This window comes from Homo sapiens, chromosome 6, assembly GCF_000001405.40.
Source record: "Homo sapiens chromosome 6, GRCh38.p14 Primary Assembly".
Taxonomy (NCBI): Eukaryota; Metazoa; Chordata; class Mammalia; order Primates; family Hominidae; genus Homo; species Homo sapiens.
In genome coordinates, this window is record NC_000006.12 from 29473070 (window position 1) to 29495814 (window position 22745).

At 42.9% G+C, this 22745-nt stretch overlaps 1 protein-coding gene, 2 long non-coding RNA genes and 2 pseudogenes across 4 annotated transcripts; 1 reads left to right on the top strand and 4 right to left on the bottom strand.

Annotated features, from left to right (window-relative positions):
- On the bottom strand, window positions 1956-3002 carry MAS1LP1 (MAS1L pseudogene 1; annotated as a pseudogene).
- On the top strand, window positions 2630-17112 carry LOC105375008 (uncharacterized). Of its 2 annotated transcripts, XR_007059916.1 has the most exons (4): window positions 2630-2718; window positions 6743-6863; window positions 11911-12094; window positions 17029-17112. It is a non-coding gene; the product is annotated as an uncharacterized LOC105375008 (long non-coding RNA). The 2 variants fall into 2 exon arrangements; XR_007059915.1 differs by lacking the exon at window positions 17029-17112 and having other exon boundaries at window positions 11911-12284.
- On the bottom strand, window positions 13628-14887 carry MAS1L (MAS1 proto-oncogene like, G protein-coupled receptor). Its single transcript, NM_052967.2, has one exon. It carries the CDS (start codon window positions 14831-14833, stop codon window positions 13697-13699), a length of 1137 nt encoding a protein of 378 aa, NP_443199.1. The 5' UTR covers window positions 14834-14887; the 3' UTR covers window positions 13628-13696.
- LOC124901486 (uncharacterized) lies at window positions 15447-21073 on the bottom strand. The gene is made up of 4 exons (XR_007059914.1): window positions 20922-21073; window positions 18581-18757; window positions 17070-18447; window positions 15447-15788 (listed from the first exon to the last, which is right to left on the bottom strand). It is a non-coding gene; the product is annotated as an uncharacterized LOC124901486 (long non-coding RNA).
- On the bottom strand, window positions 16134-16624 carry RPS17P1 (ribosomal protein S17 pseudogene 1; annotated as a pseudogene).
- Window positions 21074-22745: the final 1672 nt, after the last annotated feature.

Genomic DNA, 22745 nt, shown 5'->3' on the forward strand with positions numbered 1-22745 from the left:
AAAAAGGGGTGGAGATTTAAATGGGGTGGTCTGGACAAACATCTTTAAGGAGTGAAGGGTGAAAAAGAGTAAAATGTACAGATAGTGTTGAGGGAGTGCTCTAAGCAGGGAAGGGAGAAAGGGACCTTGCAAGGTTGGGCGCGAGTCTGGTGCAAACAAGGGAGAGAGTGAATCCTGTGTGAGGATGTCATGGGACAAGGTCAAATGGTGCACCTGAGGACAACTCAGGGGGTGGACACCATCCTGAAATCTAAGAGTTACGCTGGCTGGGGTGCAATTGAACAAATGAAGCAGGGTGATGTGCTGCTGTGATGGCTATAGAGCATTGACGGGATGGAGCTGGGGCTGGTCAGGGGCTCTCATTAAGGTTCTGACCATGGTGGGTGCCGGGCAACACCCTGGTCAGGGTGGGGAAGAATGCATGACATTCTGCAGGGTGGGATTCCTGTGAAGAAGCACAGGCGCTAGATTGTGTGATGAGTCTGGGAAAAACACAGAGAGTAGCCTGTGCGTGGAACCTGGAATGAGCAGAGTGAAACAGCTTGGAGAAACCAGGCTGTAGGCCAGACTGCCAGCGTTAGATCTCTCCACAGTGAGCAACGCCAGAAACAACTTGTTATGGCACTCTTACTGAATCGCTTTCCTGGCTTTTGTAGGAAGGGATGGATGGAAACTTGAGGCCATAATGGTGGAGGAACATCAGGATCATGAATCAGTCTCTGCCCAGGGGTCCCCAGGAAGGATGGACTGGGGTGACAGAGGACAGAACTCCGAGCAAGGTGACTGAATAAGGATGAATGACACTTGTCACTCTCAGAAATATGGAGCTTGCAGAAGCCAGGAAGGTTGAACTAGTTTACAGTCCCACCAACAGTGTAAAGATGTTCCTATTTCTCCACATCCTCTCCAGCACCTGTTGTTTCCTGACTTTTTAATGATCACCATTCTAACTGGTGTGAGATGGTATCTCATCGTGGTTTTGATTTGCATTTCTCTGATGGCCAGTGACTATAAACTAGTTCAACCATTGTAGAAGTCAGTGTGGCGATTCCTCAGGGATCTAGAACTAGAAATACCATTTGACCCAGCCATCCCATTACTGGGTATATACCGAAAGGATTGTAAATCATGCTGCTATAAAGACACATGCACACGTATGTTTATTATGACACTATTCACAATAGCAAAGACTTGAAACCAACCCAAATGTCCAACAATGATAGACTGGATTAAGAAAATGTGGCACATATACGCCATGGAATACTATGCAGCCATAAAAAATGATGAGTTCATGTCCTTTGTAGGGACATGGATGAAGCTGGAAACCATCATTCTCAGCAAACTAGTGCAAGGACAAAAAAACCAAACACCGCATGTTCTCACTCATAGGTGGGAATTGAACAATGAGAACACATGGACACAGGAAGGGGAACATCACACTCTGGGGCCTGTTGTGGGGTGGGGTGAAGGGGGAGGGATAGCACTAGGAGATATACCTAATGTTAAATGATGAGTTAATGGGTGCAGCACACCAACATGGCACATGTATACATATGTAACAAACATGCACGTTGTGCACATGTACCCTAAAACTTAAAGTATAATAAAAAAAGAAAAATAAAATAAAATAAAATAAAATAATTAGCTGGAAAAAAAAAAAAAAAGAAGAAGCCAGGAAGGTCTGCTTTGCTCCTGACCTGCCTTTCCAGAGGGTTTCCATGGGAATTGAGAATAATGGGCTATCAACAGAAGCAAAGTAATTTTGTCTTGAATTCAGTCAGAAATCTGGTTACTCTGAAAATACACAAAGGTAATAAATAATCTCAAGAACATTCACCCTGCTCCTTGGAGGATCCAGCATGTTTTCCAGACATGATCCCTTTTACAGCCTTGTGCATAGGCAGTCCCTGCCTTTGTGGAGGAGCTGAGCCCCCTAGAAGAGCAGTTTGTTTCCAGCTGTGAGGCTGAAATCTGCCCTGGGATCGGGGGCCTGAAACGCCTCATTTTATCCATGCCTCCATCTCACTCAACAAAGCCCTCTGAAAAACAGCCTTTAGGGACTCCCTGTGCCTCTTCCTGTAGAGTTACTCAGCCAAGAAGTAGATGACTAGGTGAGGCATGCTGACCACAATGGACAGTAGCAACAGGAGGTCAAAGGCAAGGGTCAGAAACTTTCCTGGCAGGCACACAAGGACAACTAAGGGCAGGACCCAAAGGAAGAAGCTGATGATCACAAAGCAGACAACATGATAGGTCCTGATGGGGGAACACCACTGGGGACAGCACAGACCCCAGATGATCAGGATCAGCTTGGACATGCCCATTACAAAGCAAATAAGTACATGACATGTCATAAAGCCTCATGAAATTGGTCACATGCCAAGCACTTCTCCCAGTACTCACAGACCTGGCTAACTGCATACAAAGAAAGGGCCAGGGCCCACCTCACCATGGCAGAGGTGTGCTCTGGGCGGTGGCAGCACCAGGTGGGACAGAGGGCACAGAGAAAGCTCTCAATACTCATGGCCACCAGGAGACAGAGACCCACTGTGTCGGAGAAATAGGAGACAGGATCCAGAAACACAGCCACCTGCAATGCCGCCTGGTGATACAGCATGAGGATTTTCTCCAGCAGGATCACAGTTACACAGGAGAGGTTGACCATATCAACAGTGGCCAGGTTAAGGATGTAGGTCACATAGGGGCTGCTCCAGACCTGTGAGTAGAGAAGCCAGCAGATCACATCATTGCCTACCAGTCCACAGAGGGCCACCAGCACTGTCAGGGAGAAGACCACCTGCCTGTCCACCAACCACTCACCTCCCGTATGGCTCATGTTCACATGTCCTGAGGTCTCAGTCTCATTGTCCCAATCCAGCTTTCCAGAGAGGGTTGCGAGAAGCTAGGCTATGGTGGGCTACCTTTGCTGCCTGCGCACATCCTGCAAAAACAAAGGCTGGTAACATACCAGGTCTGGAGAGGAGAGTCAGGGTTGCCCTCTGTCCTCAGAGGTTCCTGCTGAGCCTCATGAGATTGGCAGGGATTCTGCAGAGCAGAGTGGAGGAAAGGAGCAAGCTTCTTGTGGGAGACCCATCCCTTCCCTCCCAGATTCTCCATTGCAGGATGCCCTCTCATGCATACCCTTACCCCTCTCTCCACCGCATTCAGTTATCCCTGATGCTTCATGCTGTGCCCAAGGCCCAGTGTGTATCCCGTGCACCCAGATTATCTATAAGGCTGCATAAAAAAATACATTTGTTTACATTAGCCCATAGGGATGGTTCTCCAACTTTCCCACTGGTACAGGCTGTTTTTGTGACATCGTTTTGGTGGGGGCACTGAGTGACTACTTTACCTTGAGGTTCTGAGACTCCTTGAGTCCTGGATGGGGAGGTTGCTGGTCAGTACTCAAGGGAAGGGCTCCCAACCTTGCTCCTGCTCACCTCTTCTCTGTTAGCTCTCAGGCCTCCTCCCTGGACCTTTGCACATGCTGTTCTCCTGCTTGGAAGAGCCTCTGTGCCTCAGTGAGCTCGGTCTCCTCCTTCCAGTCTCTGCCTCAGGGTCACCTTCCAGGTGATCTTCTGCTGATCAGCCTTTAAACATTGCACTCTTGACCTGCTGGCAGTCTATGATATTCACTTACTTGCTTTTGTGGGAATCATGCCCTGGAATGGAAGTTCCATGAGAATTTACTTTGTCTTTAAAATTCTGTTCACTGCCTTTTCTCCAGCCCCTGGAACAGGGTTTGACACTGAGGAGCTACTTGGGGAGGGTGCCTGCAGAGGACTTAAGTTGCTCTGTTACATGTAGGTGAGAGCAGGGGACCCTGCACACCAGAAGCTGCTTCATGGGGTCCCGAGGGAGACATGCACTTGAGCCATGGGCTCTGTCCACTTCAGGAGCAGGCACTCCGCTTCAGGCTGCCAATCACAGGTCTTTGTGTGAAGAATTGTGCAGGGAGGGCAAAGGTACCACTTTGCCTTAGAATTTCCTAGTTTGTATTCCTGAAAATTCCTTGTCCTGAATATCCCGATAGCCCTGGGAAAACCAAGCTGGTTGGTCACCTAACTAAAAATGAAACGGGAGAGGATCAATACCTCTTCTGGGAACCCACAGCTGAGTCAAACCTAGTAACCTGGGAGTTCAGGCCAAGGGTATGAAAGCTGATCTTATGTGGGCAAATCACAGCTATCTTTGATAAGCAGTGGATCCTTTTCTGCCTCAGTATTCCCAGCTATCTAAGGGTTGCTGTTATTAGCTGAATTGTGACCTTCTAAATTCATATGTTAAGGTCCTAACCCCTAATACTTCAGAATGTGACTGTGTCTGCAGACAGAATCTTTGAAGAGGTAATTATGTTAAAATGGGTCTTTAGGTTGGGCCCTAATCCAATAGGACTGGTGTCCTCATGAGATGAGGAGATTAGGATTAGTTAAACACACAGGGACAACCATGTAAGCATGCAGGGAAAAGACAGCCATCTACAAGCCAAGGAGAGAGGTCTCAGAAAGAACCGACAGTGCCGACCCCTTAATCTCAGAATTCCAACCCCCAGGACTGTGACAGAATAGACTTCTATCATTTAAGTCACTCAGTCTGTGGTCTTAGTCATGGGAGTCCAAGCTGATGATCACAGTAGTGAAGAGAACTTTATACATGGAATCATGGGAAGTCTCAGAATGGTGAGACGAACCTGGTCCTACAACCCTGAGCTACTGAAGCTTTGTTTATGGATCACAGAGGCTTCTAAAACAAAGATTGTTCCACAAATTGATGAAAGCCTAAGATATGCCAGGAAATATCTCACACGTGACCCTGTGATCTGCAGTCACATATTGGTGCATCAGTGGGGTTTCAGGAGAGTGCTAGGGACCAGCTCCAAGTGAGCCCAGTGTTTGAATCTTCCCTCCTTGCCAGGATGATGGAGTTCCCCTTCAGTCAGCAGCTCTGTTGAAATGGAAGGGTCTGGCCCCAGTCTCGCCCCTCCCTGTGCCTGTTGCCTAGACTTTCTTATCTGAGGCCAGGAGAGGAAAGCAGATCCAGCTTATATCTAATCTGGTCATAAGACGAGGCTTGGGGCTTAGTAACATTGGTGTCCATGGAAACATCAGGCTGATGTGCGGTTCTGTGCCCAGGCCAGGGTGTCAGAACTCGTGATGGTGACAGAAGAGAAACTGCAAACAGGACTCCATGGCCCACCCCAGGCCACCAGGGCACCAAGCAGGAGCAGCTGGGCTTTGGTCTCCAACAAGGAGAGGAGATTTATAGATAAAATAGTTTCATGGGAAGAAGTGACTTCCCCTCCAGCCAGAAGAAAAGATCCGCTATGGAGGTGGCATGTGGCCTCAGGGGCAGAGTCATGCTTCCCATTCCTGAGCTCATTGAAACCCAGCTCATGCCCAGAGACGACCACTGAGCCCAGTGACTGAGCAGTACATTCTTCATTGTCACCTAGGAGGAGGAGGCAGCCCTCCTGGGGTGGAGAGGCCTCGGCATCTGGTGTGGCCCCAGCACTGGGCATAGAGACATCCTGGTACTTGGAAATGTCATTTGTGGTCTTGGGAATGTCATTTCCAAGTTGGGTCATGAGCCAGGCTCCCCAAGGAGTAGATACAACAGGCTGGATCCTGGGATTCAGGGAGCCAGCGCTGTTGGAAGTGCTCAGTTTGGTGCAGCCAAAATAGCCAAGTAGCCTTTGCATTGGGATTGAAGTATTTGCTCTGATTCTGAGGCGAGAGCCCACCCTCCCCACTTAATTTTTATCTGAGGTGAAATTCACATAACAGAAATTAACCAATTTAGAGTGCACAGTTCTGCCTCACTTTGCCTCTTCACAATATTGCGCAACCCCCAACTCTATCTAGTTCCAAAACATTTTCATGCCCCATAAGGATGCCCTTAGCAGTTACATCCCTTTCTCCCTCCCAGCTCTTGGCAACCACCATCTGCTTTCTGTCTCTGCGCATTCACCCATTCTGGACACGTCCTATTAGTGGAATCAAACCTTCCGTGACATTTTGTTTCTGTTTCTTTCACTCAGCCTCATGTTTTCATGGCTTGTTCATGGTGCAGCATGTGCCAGAACTTCATTTTCTGTGTTAGATGAGAATTAAATACGAATATAGAAGCTGGGAAATTGGAAAATCTGAAAGGTTACACCCAGAAGTCATAGACCACACCTCAGTAACACAGTGGCTCAAATCCTACTTCTAACAGAAAAACACACCCTCTGCCCATCTACACAGCCAGGGCACCTGTGAACCAGGGACCAGAACACAGAAGTAGCTCACCCACTGGGGCTACCTTGGGAACCGCAGGCCCTCCTTTTTCCAGGAAACTGGTTTCTATCCTGTCAATCTTCAAATGCACCTTCCTCAGTAAAAAAAAAATCACAAGGTTTTAAATTTTTTTAAAAAATGAGTCTTTGAGTTAAAATGCTTTGAAAATGAAAAAAAAGGTAGAGACCTTTTTTCTCATACCTGGGAGGACTTGGACGGACTTGGTATCACAGAGGCCAACCTCCTGAGAGATCAAAGTTCTGCCCTCATGTCAGGAAGCTCTCTAAGCATATCTGCTTTGAACTGGGTCTTGACAAGCAGTTATCAAGTTCCCTGTGTCCCTTAGGTCTTCCTGTACCAGGGCCACTTGCATATCAGAGCCCAGGCCTTTAACTGAAGCATCTTTATCTCAACATCTCACGATATCCCCCAATCCTGTCTGACTCTATTACTCTGTCCTTAAGAACTGTCCCCTGAAACAAAGAAGAATCTTTAAGAGAAGTCAGTCTCTCCACTTTAATGCATCTCCCAGACTGAGGTCCAGCCCAGCCCAACCCATCCTAGAAGGCAGAAGAGGAAAGTCAGGTCAGCATTTTCCCAATGAACTCAGGAATTCCAGTAGCTCAAACGTGCTCCTTGGATTTTGTCATGAATTGAATTGCATGTTTTGTAAAGTAAAATTAATGTAAGAACTTTACTTTGCTGTCTTCTCAAAGATCAATTTGCTCTTTCTTGATTTTCTCTAGTGCATGTTTGTTTTTGTTGGAAAATTAGTCATGAATGATCCATAAACATAATGTAAAGAAGTCTTGGGAATGTTTTTGTGCTGTGCCACTTACCAAGCAGGTTCTGACACAACATATTGGCAAATTCTTACTGAAAGCCAGATCAAGCTCACACTCCATGTATCCTCATGCTATTCCCCTCCGTTCACCTACAGCTGTTTGTGAAGGAGCCAGCTGATCATTTCATATAGACTTTTGTTCACATGTGGCTCAACTTGAGAAAAATGAGATGGATGCAAGGCTCCTTTCGTTGGTTTCTCTAGCAATTCATGCATTTCTAGCTTGAAGTTGCTTCTTATCCCTGCAGGAAATAATCTTTTATTATATTCCCTCTTAAAACCTTGTGGTTAAATGTGATTCACATAGTGGGGCAGATGGTTTCTGTATGGTTCTACAGTGACCAGGAAGGAGAGATATATAAGAATGAAATACACTATGATCAAAGGGTGACAAGATGTTAAAATACACCCCTCCTTGTCCTTCGGTGCTGACTGGCTGTTTACCTCACTGCAGAGATAGAATCTGAGAAGACCTCAAGGTCACATAGGGAATGTGACTTTATGGGACAGTACTGATCCTCCCTACAAGGGAGCCATTAAGGGTCTAGAGCAGCTGTTACCTTTGGTCCTATCTCCTCTATATTTCATGTAGTTTTTATATTCAAGAGATTGTGGATCTTGAATTTTTTTATTATATGTACCCAAATTATTTTTTCATTATTATTATTTTTTAAATTATACTTTAAGTTCTGGGATACATGTGCAGAACTTGCAGGTTTGTTACATAGGTATACATGTACCATGGTGGTTTGCTGCACCCATCAACCCATCGTCTACATTAGGTATTTCTCCTAATGCTATCCCTCCCCTAGACCCCCACCCCCAACAGGCCCCAGTGTGTGATATTCCCTGCCCTGTGTCCATGTGTTCTCATTTTTCAATTCCCACCTATGAGTGAGAACATGCCGTGTTTGGTTTTCTGTCCTTGCGATAGTTTGCTGAGAATGATGGTTTCCAGCTTCATCCATGTCCCTGCAAAGGACATGAACTCGTCCTTTTTATGGCTGCATAGTATTTCATGGTGTATATGTGCCACATTTTCTTAATCCAGTCTATCATTGATGGACATTTGGGTTGGTTCCAAGTCTTTGCTATTGTGAATAGTGCCGCAATAAACATACGTGTGCATGTGTCTTCATAGTAGCATGATTTATAATCCTTCGGGTATATACCCAGTAATGGGATCACTGGGTCAAATGGTATTTCTAGTTCTAGATCCTTAAGGAATCACCACAGTCTTCCACAATGGTTGAACTAATTTACACTCCCACCAACAGTGTAAAAGCCTTCCTGTTTCTCCACATCCTCTTCAGCATCTGTTGTTTCCTGACTTTTTAATGACTACCATTTTAACTGGCATGAGATGGTATCTCATTGTGGTTTTGATTTGCATTTCTCTAATGACCAGTGATGATAAGCCCTTTTCATATGTTTGTTTGCCACATAAATGTCTTCTTTTAAGAAGTGTCTGTTCATATCCTTCATCCACTTTTTGATGGGGTTGTTTGTTTTTTTCTTGTAAATTTGTTTAAGTTCTTTGTAGATTCTGGATATTAGCCCATTGTTAGATGGATAAATTGCAAAAATTTTCTCCCATTCTGTAGGTTGCCTGTTCACTCTGATGATAGTTTCTTTTGCTGTGCAGAAGCTCTTTAGTTTAATTTAATTAATTTGTCAATTTTGTCAAATTTTGTCAATTTTAATTAGTGTAATTTGTCAACTGAACTAAAATTTGTCAATTTTAATTAGTTTAATTTGTCAATTTTGGCTTTTGTTTCCATTGCTTTTTGTGTTTTAGTGATGAAATCTTTGCCCATGCCTATGTTCTGAATGATATTGCCTAGTTCTAGGGTTTTTATGGTTTTAGGTCTCATGTTTAAATCTTTAATCCATCTTGAGTTAATTTTTGTATAAGCTGTATAAAAGGGGTCCAGTTTCTGTTTTCTGCATATGGCTAACCATTTTCGCCAACACTATTTATTAAATAGGGAATCCTTTCCCCATTGCTTTTTTCTGTCAGGTTTTTCAAAGATCAGATGCTTGTAGATGTGTGGTGCTATTTCTGAGGTCTCTGTTCTGTTTCATTGGTCTATATATCTGTTTTGGTACCAGTACCATGCTGTTTTGGTTACTGTAGCCTTGTAGTATATTTTGAAGTCAGGTATCGTGATGCCTCCAGCTTTGTTCCTTTTGCTTAGAATTGTCTTGGCTACACAGGCTCTTTCTTGGCTCCATATGAAATTTAAAGTAGTTTTTGCTAATTCTGTGAAGAGAGTCAATGGTAGCTTGATGGGGATAGCATTAAATCTATCAATTACTTTGGGCAGTATGGCTTTTTTCACGATATTGATTCTTCCTATCCACAAGCATGGAATGTTTTCCCATTTGTTTGTGTCCTCTTTTGTTTCCTTGAGAAGCAGTTTGTTGTTCTCCTTGAAGAGGTCCTTCACATCCCTTGTATGTTTTTTTTTAAGAAACAGAATCTCACTTTGTTGCCCAGACTGGCATGGAGTGAAATGATCTCGACTCACTGTCTCAAATTCTTGGTTTCAAGAGCATCCTCTGTTCCCACTCTCTCATGATACCTAATACTGGTGATTATCAGGCTCAAGTCCTGCCTATAGTCATGTATCTGAAACACAATTGGGATTCTATCCAGGGACTCTTGTCCACAGGACACCCCTAATAAGATTGGCCTCCCCCATATAGTGTATCTCTTATGCTTTTCTACCTTTGAGAACCAGCACTATTTGCTTCTATCACAGTAAAAGCCACACTCAGATAATTTTATAAACATAAATCTAGGCCCTGGTTTAACAACAATGGGCATCAATGTATGAGGCAAGCTTATCTAGTACTAGGATTCCAGTTTGCTGTGTAGCATTCCCATAGAAGGCTGTCTTTGCCTTTTCATTCAAGGATAAGAAAATATTTCCAGTTAGAAATGTTTTTGGCTGCCAAATAGAGAAGCTCAATTAAACTAATTTTAGCAGTCAGTGATGTATAATATTGAAGCACAAGACACCTGTAGATAGGGCTGCTGCAAGATGTTCAAGTCAGTGGCACAATGTCTTGAAAAAATTAGAATTATCCACTTTTACTTCTGGCATCTTCAGAATATTGTCCTCATTCCTCACTGGGCATGTTTTCCGAATGCTTAGGATATGACTTCATACTCAGAATATGATATAAAAAATGCGAGAAAAAAGAACTTCCTTTCCTTCCATCTCTTTTTATATCTGTGAAAACTCTTCTTAGAGTCATACCACATAGAATGTCCTGCGATATCTCATTGGAATGCCCTCACCATAACCAACACTTAGGCCTTTTTCACCTACCCCCAAATTATATACACCTCCCTCCCTTGTCCAAGTTAAAATTAAAATATTTGCATCTATTTGAAATGCATTCATTATTTTGTCAAGAACTGTATGTACCTAGTATCATCTTGTTACTGCCTCTAGCTCCATTCTGGCACCCACGTGACAGGCATTTAATTCCATTCATTCAGTGAGTGTCCTTTCCAGCTAGACATTCTTGGGTAAAAGAACAGACAGAATCACACTTGTTGTCAGGAAAGTAAGTTCCATCACTCTCAAGCTCACAGTTCTCTGTTCTTCTCATTGGAAGGATTCACCTAATCTATTTAGTGAATTGTCCATAGACACTGGAACTTCCCTCTGGGAGATTTTCCTTATTTGGTTTATTCCGTGGCCACACCTGGGTGTTTGAGGTGAAACACCTTTCTAATGTTTGTTCATATTTCACAATCCCATTTCTTTTGGCAAAAGGTCAGGGTTCAGGTTTGGACCTTTGGGTCTGAACATATGATGTTATTGGCCATGTTATTTTCACTTATTAGTTTGATTTTATTTGTTTTATTTTTTCCTTTTATTTTAAGAGGTGGGGAGTAGTAATTTCATTAAAAACTTTTGTCTTACAAATTCCCTGGAAACAATCTCATGAAAATATTTATCAATGTAATTTGTGTGTGTGTGTGTGCGTGTGAGAAGATTCCTGTTCCTAGCTATGGGCACCAGTTCCTGCTAAGTCCTACTTCATGGCTTTGCCTTGGAGAAGTACATAACAGCTACAGGTGTGAAAGTGCCCAGTCACCCAATCCCTCCCAGATGCATCTCTGCAGTAGGGACAGTGGGATTTTCTGCCTTGGGAGCAGGTAAAACCAGTATTGTTGCAATAAACACCCTGTCACGGATATCACTTGGTAACACTATTTTGTCTCTGTAAAATGGAGCAATAAAACTTTAAACGTTGATTATAAGTGTATGTGTGTTTATAATTTTAAGGTACAGTACTCAATTTTTCCCCAACAAAAGCAATAACTTAAACTCACCACTTTGGTTGCAGAAGACATTAAATCCTCCATATTCTTCTGTGTGTCCAGCCATTAAAGCTTATTAATAACAGGGGTAGAAAATCATATCTCATTATGCAGTGCTCCTGATGACTAACAAAGTTGAATAATTTAACCGTTTAACAAAAAAGATTAAAGTGGGCTTATACTTCACACTATCCTCCAGTAAAAAAAAATCAAATTGATCAAATATTTACATGTTTACAAATGAAATAATTTAATAGTATAAGACAGCATAGATTCATTTTATATTATCTCATGTAGGTAAGACTTCTTTAATCATAACTCAATACATAAGCCATAAAAGACTGACAAATTCAAATTTATAAAAACGGTGTGCTTGACAATAACATGTTTTTAAAATCATAACCGAAGTAAGTGACCAATGAAAATGTTGGAAATTGTATCTGCAGCTCAGACAACTGAAAAAGGACTAATCTGCTTATAGATGGAGAGCTAACAGAAGTGGAGAGACAAAGACCTGTCCACGAGAAGTCTCATGCCCCTTCCTTCACTCTGACACCTCCTTAACATGCTCCTGAAATGTCAGCATCATGAGACATGAGCTACACAATGATGCAGTATGGGAATTAAGAGGTAACCATATATTTTAATATCAGACTTGAATGAATCTTCTTTGTTTTGAGTAACATGTACACATAATTGAATAAGCACATATAGAAATCATTAAAAAAAGTTATTTGACAAATTACACCTTAAAAGGAGACTATACATTATTTTAAACACCATGGTGGACAAAACTGACCATGTCTTCAGCCACAGAGTAAATCTGAAAGAAATACAAATAATAATATTAATAATAACATTTTGTTGGTTATATTATTTGACCACAATAAAATAATATATACAATAACTAGAATTTAAAGCATATATATATATAAAGCAATATTATAGAATGGCAATTCTAGTCCTTGAAGGATTGTCTAAAATCACAGATATAAAATTAATAAGGCTTAAATAAAGGGTATGTACTTAAAGGGAATGCAATTTTTATTCAAATTACAAAGAGGTATTATTAAAACAACTTATTATGTACAAAGCACTGGGACATTAAACTGAATCATGAAGTAATGACTTCAACCTCACAAAACTTCTCGTCTTCTAGGGGAAGCTTAAAATAAGACCAAAATGGTGGAACCATTACAAATTACAATAATGTTGTAAGAAATAAAAGATCAATAAGACCAGCCAGAGAATGTGATCATAGAAATGCTCTTAAAGTTGACCTTTTTAACTAGAGATAAAACATGGAAAAGGCAAAAACAAGGAAAATTGTGAGTGACATAATTCCTCACAGAGGAAAGAAAATTTGCAAAAAGGATGTGTTCCATTTAACAAAAGAAACCCAATATGAGAGTTTTGTAAGCAATGTAAGCAAGATGAAGAATTAAATGGTATTAAGTTGGAGAGAGGATGAGGTAAATTTGCTTTCTTCAAAGTAAAAGGTTTGGGTGTAAATTCTAACCTAGTGAGGAGGGATTATATTATCCAACGTAATGTTTTTGTACATTTATTCAACACACTGCAACATATTCATCATCCTTACTAAATAATTGTTACACATGTTGTAAATAAAATCCAAGGAGTCCTGTATATTCATAAGGTTAATTAATCCTCACACCAACCATGCATATTAAATACCAACTTTATCCTCCTCTTGCATAAGATGAAACAGAGTTACAGAGAGTTATTTGCCCACAATAACATGCTTTGAATGGGAGAGCCAAAGTTTGGACAAAGGCAATCTGGGTCCAAAACCCTGACTCTTACTCTTATGTGATGATGCCTCTTGGTAATTCCGACAAGCTCAAGCTCTATCTAAGGAGGAGATAGACAAAGGGAGGAAAATCTGTGGCTGGATTTGGAGGATGTTCCAGGATAATGATTGAGAATAATGCATGGCCTTTTGTATGGTCTTTATTTGGGATTCCACAGGTACCAGGAAAGTCTCACTGGGTCCCATTCCCCTCATCGTTGGAACTGGAGCACATTCAAACTGGGCTTACTGCCTAGGAAGGAAGTTAATGTCTCTTCCAACCACAAACAGCAAGGGGTTGTTTTGAAAGTCCATGAAAGCTGAACTTGATTAGAATAAAGCATTGATTTGATGCAGCAGCCTTATGATGCAGAACAGGCTGGGTTACTATGTGTACAATTCCCCAGCTCAGATGTGGGAAATTATGTTTCCACATCGACCCTGTGCTCCCTGGGAAGAAGGTTCTCCACATGCTGAGTAGAGTGTGGTTGCTCCATTGGGTCGATGCCAGCTGCCTTTTTGTTCCTCCCCACCTCTGGCTTATCTGCTAACGCCCGTTGGAGAATCACTCTGAGAGATTCCTTCAGCCTTTTCTTTCTGAGGCTCCCCACAAAGAAATAAATGATAGGGTTGGCGCTGCTGTTTATAATGAGGAACAAGGAAATTAAATAGGAGGTGGTGACAAACATTTTGAAATCTGTTATGAGGGGTGCCACGCTCAGGGGTAGGGCCCAGAGTAGGAACATGGGGGCCGAGATCTGCACCACCGCATAGACCCTGGTGGCCTTTTGCTGCTGGGAGCAGCACAGGAATCTAATGAGTAGAGTCAGACTCGACACACACATCACAAGTGAAAGGATAGCATGGAAGAGCCCAGAAAGCTTTAGAAATATGACACATGCCTTTACATGTTTCCAGTAAGTTAGGAAAAGTGATTTTACTATGTTGATGCAAAAAGGCAGGCCCCAGATGAGGGTGCAGACAACATTAGATGTGTATTTTGGGCGGTGGCATCTGTACCAGATGGGGAAGAGGACACACACACACCGCTCTGTGCTGATGGCCACCAGGAGACAGAGACACACCTCAAAGGAGAAGGGAGACAATATGGCCAGGAAATCAGGGATAAAAAACACGACTCCATGATAAGTTAGCAGAGTCACCTGTAAGAACCCCACTGCCGAGCAGCAAAGATAGATCACGTCAGCAGCGACCAGGTGGAGGATGTATACCATGTAGGGATTCGTGGCCCCACAGCAAAGCAGCCAGAAGACAGTGCCATTCAATAAGACCCCACAGAGGGAGACCAGCACAGCCTTGGGGGCAATGATATTCAAGGGCAGGGCCTGCTGTCCCACTGCCATGCTCATCTGCATATGTATGGTTTCATTCGTCTCATTTTGAAGAAAGACGCCACAGAGCTGAGATACCAGGTTTGGGTTCTGTGCCTCCTGGTCACCACTGTGGAGACAAAGGCTACATGAGAGAGATATCTGTGACTCAGCAAACACTGTCCATCCAGCCCTCTGGCTGAACCAGCAAATTTTCCCCCAGACCATGGGGTGCTGGGACCTGAGTGGGCCACAACATCACAGTCAGGAGCAGTGGTCCATCTAGTGGTGTCCTCTGGCCTCAGACCCCTTGCCTCTACATTTTCCTAGGCTGGAATAGAACACCCATTGTTGGGTGTGCTTTTTAGGAACAGCTGAACATTAACTACATATCAGAGTGGATGGGAGTATCTGCTCTGCAAATAGCTCTCCATGAATTTGTGATCTGTTCTCCCTCCCCTAACACATCTCCTGTTGTACAGGATGCCCCAGGCCTACCCACATAGACCCAATATCTTGTTGTTGGGCACTAATGAGGCACTAAACATTGGGAATGGAGATTTGTGTCTGGTCCAGGTTCTACTCATGAGACACTAGTGTCTCATCTCTTTTTTTTTTTTTTTTTTGAGTTGGAGTCTCACTCTGTCACCCAGGCTGGAGTGCAGTGGCGCGATCTCAGCTCACTGGAACCTCCACCTTCCAGGTTCAAGCGATTCTCCTGCCTCGGCCTCCTGACTAGCTGGAACTACAGGCACCCACCACCATGCCCGGCTAATTTTTTTGTATTTTTAGTAGAGATGGGGTTTCACCATATTGGCCAGGCTGGTCTCAAACTCCTGACCTTGTGATCCACCTGCCTTGACCTCCCAAAGTGCTGGGATTACAAGCGTGAGCCACGGCACCTGGCCATGTCTCATCTCTTTCAAACCCAGTCCTGGGCATCCTTGGGTAGCCATACAGGATGCAGCAGTGCCACAGTATGGCATTTCCCTGGGCTCAGACAGGTACAAGGGAGCACTGAGATTTCCAAGGCAGGCATTTCACAGCAGTTGGCACCAAAGAAGTCCTTTCTATGGCTGGCAGGACTTGACCTGGAAAATAAGGAAATCTGCGTTTCTCCAGGGGCGTGAGTCTCAGGCAGTGTCTGTGTGGGCATCATCGACTGCTATGCTCCAAATGTCAGCTGAGGAGAAGGAAATGAACAGACTTAGGGTGCAACAAATACAAAAGAGGCCTAAGAATATTAATATAAATATTAATATAGAGAATAGTATTTTAATGCTATGTAAATATATTAATATAGAGAGACTAGCATATTAATACTATGTAAATATTTATATATTAATAAATTATATTAATATAACATTGCTATATTAACATGTTATTAATATTGATGTTAATATATTCACATTATATATTTATGTTAATATATTAATTATATTAATATAACATATTCTCAATTATGCTATCAAGGATATTGATAATTAATATTGACATTAGTTTATTAATATTTATGTATTTATTTATTGCTGTTGTCCCAGGTTTATTGAAAATAAAATCCAGTGACTGCTGTATATTACAGCATTGGAGAAAGAGTCAAACAGCTCCACGAGGCATTTTGAAATTCATCCCAACTGTAGGCCGAGTGACCTGCAGGTTGGACAGGCTGCCAAAGTCCAAAAGCTTCAGCATTTCCTTAGTGTCAGGATCTACTTCGATGATCTCCTGATCCAGGGCTGAGACCTTGGGGACATAATTGTCCCTCCTTTCTTTCTCCTCCTCCTGTAGCTTGATGGAGATACCTCTCACTGGACCTCTCTGAATCTGGTTCGTCAGATGCGTGACGCAGCCTGCTCTCCTGTTGTGGAGCTTCTTGCTGAGGATAATGGGGATCTCCTCACACACACTTGTTTGTGTGGAAGTCATTGCCCAGGCACATGTAGTACTTTTCTACGATGACCTAGGCCACCTTCGTCACAGTCTTGATGCCAACACGACCCATGTTGGTGGGTCTTTGGTCATTAATATTAATTGATATTAACATTATTCAGTTTATTAATAATGTATCATTAATAATATTTATACAATATTAGTAAAATAGTTTATCAGTACATTTTAATGTTGATATGCTTTCAATATTAAGATATTAATGTATTATTGATTACATGTGAATATATTAGCATATTAACAGTATATATTAATATATTTGGTATACTATATTAATATTATTTATATGATATGAATATGCTATTAGTGGCATATTAATAACAATATATTAATAATATAATGTGATTAATAGTTGTATGTGATTATTAATTATTTATGATTATATTATGATTAACAAGTAGTACTATTATATCTTGTTTCTAATGAATAATTATTATTAATATTCAAAAAACTAATAATAATTGTTATTTTTATAGAATCTGGAATTGTGGAGCAGACTTCGCAAGGCTTCTCTGACCTCTGCCTCCCGCTCTGGGATCTGTGAAACACACTGGGCTCTTCTTCTAGACCTCCCTTTTTGAAGCTCCTCCAAAGACCGTTTCATCATCTCTACTCAACAGTCTCCTCAGGAAATTGCCTCTTCAGTAGGCAAATGTCACTTGCCACAAACTTATCTTTGGCATGAGGATAAGACAGTGCTAAGGTAGAACTGTCTGTACCTTCTTTGGGTTTACATTGTGATAACTGCAAGGAGAAAAATAAATTGGGCTGAGTGGATAGAAAATGATAAGGGTAATGGATGTTTCCTAGTGGGATAAATGAGGGGAGTTTCTTAGTAGGACATGGAGATCTGAATGACCTACTGGAGCAACCAGGTGACAGCCAGAAGGAAAGAGCCACAGGCAGGCTCAGCAAGTTCACCACCCTGGGGCAAGTGGCTTCATCTGCTTTGTTAATCTTTGATGCTCCTGTCCAGAGAGGGCCTCTTAAGCAACTTGAGTGCAATAACTATTTTTCTATTATTGCGTTAATAAACCCCAAGAAGGTCCCTGCAACTCTAGAGAGTTAAAGACTTATAAGCCATTTTCAAGATTGGAGAATATTCTTATCTCAGCCATCAGTGGACAGAAAGGGGCAGCCAGGCCCCTTCAGAGCAGCACTGAGCTACTGTCCCTGGAGTGGTGGGGCCTGACCACAGCTTCCTCTTTCAACCATGGAATCCTTATCACTATTTTGCAAACACCAAAGATGTAGCCTCAGATGTGAATCTACTCACATGCTGGAAGTTTGTCCATGATGTTGAGAGCTCGTTTAAGTGGAAGATCCTGGATGAGTGCAGATACAGACTGTGAGCAGGAGAGCTCTGCTCTGTCTCTTTTCAAGACTCTGAGACAGAGGCCAAGAGCCTAGCATGCAAAACACCTCAGACAATGCATCCAGGGTAGGGGAGAACTGATATGAACCATTCACCCTTAGCCAAAAACCTGCTCACCTTGGGCAGGTGTGGTACCTCAAGGCTGACCACAGACTAGAGGAGATCTCATGTGTCTTCCTTAGAGAGATTCCTGTCCACCTTCCTGTCTCAGGAAGATGGATGGAATCATTTCATTGGAGGATGCCAACATCCCCTGTCCAGGGCCCACTGCCTGAGCCTTGGACATTTCGGCTGAGCTGGCTAGGCCTCTGAGAATCAGCCCTGATGACCCTTGATGCCCCACTATGGAGTCCAGAACACTGAAGAACTTAGGATGCTTGAGAGGTGAAACGCTCTGGGCCCAAAGAGATCAGACCATCCTTTCCTGAGATCCTGAACACTGATAATGACTTCTCATACTTTAAGACAGCTTCACAGATGAAGTTGGCAGAGAAGCTGAGCTCACTAAAGCAGGATGTATCTGTAACAAGAAAAAAATCCTTAAATGAGTTGCTATAGCTGATCCATGGGAATGCCCAAAAAGATGTTACAGATTTCACTAGGGCTTAATCTTAGTCCTGCAGCACCAAGTACACACTCTTCCTCCTACTAACCTGGGAAGAGCCAGTTCAGGGGAGAACGGGAGGGAATAACCCAAATGTCCATTAACAGAGAGTGCCAACAGCTTCCAAAATGTGTCTCCAGTCAAGGACAGGCCAAGATGACTCATCAAAGAAATGCAAATCAAAACCACAACTAGATAGCACCTTACGCCTGTTAGGATGGCCATTCTGGAAAAACAAAAGATAACAAGTGCTAATGAGGATGTGGAGAAAGGGATCCCTCACACACTGTTGGTGAAAATGCAAAATGGCGCAGCTGCTGTGAAAAGCAGTATGGAAATTCCTCAAAAAATTAACAGTAGAACTGCACCGTATGGTCCAGAAATCCCACTTCTGAGTATTTGTCCAAAAGAATTGAAATCAGGTTTTCAAAGAAATATTAGCACTCTTATGTTTGCTGCAATACTATTCACAATAGCCAAAATGTGGAAACAACCTAAAAATCCATCAAAAAATGAATGGATAAAGAAAATGTGATATAAACATAAGATAGAATAGTATTCAGCCTTTAAAAAGGAAGAAATTTGGCCAGGTGTGGTGGCTCACGCCTATAATCCCAGCACTTTGGGAGGCCAAGGTGAATGGATCACGAGGTCAGGAGTTCAAGAGCAACTTGACCAACATGGTGAAACCCCGTCTCTACTAAAAATACAAAAATTAGCTGGGCATGGTGGCAGGTGCCTGTAATCCCAGCTACTTGGGAGGCTGAAGCAGAGAATTGCATGAACCTGGGAAGCGGAGGTTGTAGTGAGCCGAGATTACACCACTGCACTCCAGCCTGGGCAGGGGAGGGAGACTCCATCTCAAAAAAAAAATGGAAGAAATTCTGTCATATATGACAACATAGTTGAACCTGCAGATCATTATGGTAAGTGAGATTAGCCAGTCATAGAAGAATAAATCCTGCATGCACTTAAATAGGGTATCTAAAATAGTCAAATTCATAGAAACAAAGAGTGGGATGGTTGTTCCCTGGGCTGTAGGACAGGAAGTAGGGAGCTAGTAGTCAGTGGGCATAAAGTTTCAGTTTAACAAAATAGATAAGCACTAGAGCTCTACTGCACAAAAGTAGTAGTTGCCTATAGTTAACAACAGTGTACTGGAATGTTTTTGCAACTGAAGCTGCTTCATCTTTTTGAGCCTCTGGTATTTCCTCTGCAAAATTAGAATACTGATAATACCTACTTGTGGGTTTGAAAATTAAATGGGTGGATAGCATGTAAGTGCATGGAACAGTGATGAGCATATAGTGAGAGATGAATGAATAAATACTGTCCTGTTGGGACAGATGAATGTCAATAAGCAAATGCAGTAAATTGGATCATTTCAGACGGTGCTTACTACTCTGAAGGAAAAAAAAAAGTGGCAGTGGGATGGACTATCTTAAGGAAAACGGGAAAGACAGTGAGCCACTTAGGTTGGTCCTTTCTGAGCTGACAATATTTTCTGGCTTTTTCAGGAAGCCAATCCTGGGAATATCTAGAGGAATAGTGCTGCAGGTAGTGGGAACAGGAAGTACAAAGGCGCATAGGAAGAACAGTCGTATGGTTGAAGAAAAGAAAGAAGGCCAGTGTGGCTGAAGTTTAGGGAGGGAAAGAGAGAGTGAGAGAAATAAGCTTTTAGAGAGGTAGGCAGGTGTGGAATCATATAGGCCAAGATAAGAAGTTTGAATTTTAAGTGCAATGTCCAGGTGTTGGAAAGTTTTAAGCTCAGATAATAATATTATCTGGATTTATTTATTTCTTTAGAGACAAGGTCTCACTCTCTCACCCCCAGGCTGGAGTGCAGTGATGCAATCACTGCTGACTGCAGCTTCCACCTCTCCAGCCCAATCGATGCCTCCACCTCAGCCTCCTGAGTGGCTGGGACCACAGGCGTGTGCTGCCACATCTGGCTAGGTTTCTTTTTTAATTTTCTAATTTTTTTCTTTTTGTAGAGATGGGAGTCTCCCTTTGTTGCCCTGTGCTGGTCTCAAATTCCTGAGCTCAAGAGATCCCCTCCACCCCGACCCCACAAATTGCTGGGATTACAGGGATGAGTTGCCATGCCCAGCCAAGGATTTGCATTTTAAAGATCACTACTGTGCACTTAAAATTATTAGGATAATAGATCTCGTGTCAAGAATTCTTACCAAAATGAAGCAAAATTCGCACACAAAAAAAGAATAAGCAAGGATGGATTCCAGTCCCCAGTCCTCAAATGAAGGGTTGCACTGTCCTGATAATGTTCTTTCCCTTGGGGAAAACACATCTAAAATCCTTGCAAAAACTCCTCCGAATTAGAGAGATGAGAAAGAGAGTCAGATGAAGAGAGAACACAGTTCTCATCTTACCTGTGACATTTTTCCTGGGGGCAGGGGTAAGTCAGGGGGCAGTGAGGCTGACACAGACACAGAAGGACAGGTGACACCTCTGTGGACCAATGGTCTGGAATTGTCTTCCTGTCCTCTGAATATGAGCTCTCTCTTGGGCTTCCAGAAGTTACTGGACCTTGAGCAACTTTGATCAAGATTCCCATGTGCTCCTTGTTTTTCTTCTGGCCAATGAGTGGCTTCTATCTGTGGGGACAGATAGCTGAGCATCCCGAGGTTTATCACATGGTCAGCTGCTCCACTGTGGCTTTATGTGCCCAGGCAGGTCCTTCCTGTCTCCATAGGGCTCCTTTCTCTTACTCTGGTCAGAGCTCCGCATAGCCCTGGCAGCCCCTGACTCCCTCATCCTAGGGACAGGGAATAGGGCCTTGCAAGGAGTAGACCCAGTTCCAAGTTGGATATGTTGAGTCAGTTTCTAGTGAGCTGAACTTCATGGCATTGCTCTTGATAAACACAAGATCAAGATCAAATTCAGAGAACCCCTCAGGCAAAAGCTTTCACCATGCTTCACTCCCAAAGAAAGCACCCCTTGAGGGGTGTTCCAATACAATTTGTGCAGAGAGAAGCCAGTAATGTGGCCCTTTCTTCACCTCAGTAAGAAAAGCTTGGCCCTAGCCCTCACAGTTTGAAAAGAGTGTCCTCCTATTACAGGCATGGGTATGTATTGGGACTTCTGTGTCCACATTTCACCTGCATTCTCAACTCTCAGGGACCACAGCAGGTCTGAGAGATTCTGCCTGTCTTTCTGACACACATCGGGTCAACCCTGTGCACTGACTGATGTCTTAGGACTCAGATTCGGGGTTGCCATGAGCTCACTGTCATTTTACCTTCTCAGTACTTTTCCCTTGCTCTGATCTCACCTGCCACATTCACTTTAAGAATGCACATTTCTAGATTATTGATTTTCCAACTGAGTTGTCCCGAGGGCTGATGTTCTGTAAACAGTTATTTCATTTTCTCTGTTCAAAGATGGTTTGTACCCACCATCTTCATGTAACAGTTTCTTGGTCACTTACCATGTGAATATGCAGTCTCTGGGCATGGAGTCCCCTGGACTCTCAATATCTTGTGTCCTGTTTTGCCACCTGATCCTAGTTAGGACAGGCACTGAAAATCAACACCAATGACGTATTGTTACCCTGAGAGAAAATGTCTTGCTTAAGTGTAGAATAACATTTTCTGTTGTCTCTTGTCACCCCTCCTAGCCTTTTCCCCACAATCCCACAGTCATGTTGATGCATGCTGAAGGGTGTTATGCCCCACTCTGTTCCTCCCACACTGACCGGCTTTTCTCACCCATCAGCTCTGAAGTACAAGAGGCTCCTGGACTTCAAGGTGCTCTGCAAGCTCCTCACCTGTATCTGCCTCCCAGTTTCCACAGTGCCCTTTCATGGCCTTTCTCCTGGACATACGAAGTGTGCTTCTCAGAGGAGTTTTACTTAGTGGAATTATCTGTCTCTTAAAGTGTAATCTGTATCTTTTGAATGAAAAAAAAAAGACCTACATTTGTTCTCTCTGGTATGCAGACACCAGACTCTTTTGTGACCCCTGAAATCAGTTTCTCTGTTTCTGATGAACTCTGGAGGTTTTGTCACTGCTGCTGCACTGCTTTACTTGATTCCAGGAATTCGTCCTTTGTCCTCTGTGGAAGTTTTAGTTCAGGTCTCATTTTTTTCCCTTAAGCACAAGACCCCTCCCTTAATGTAACACCACACGTTCTCCAGCGCAGGCCATCTGTTCTATTGAAGCGATTCCAACAGCTTCTGCAATTAACTTGTCAAG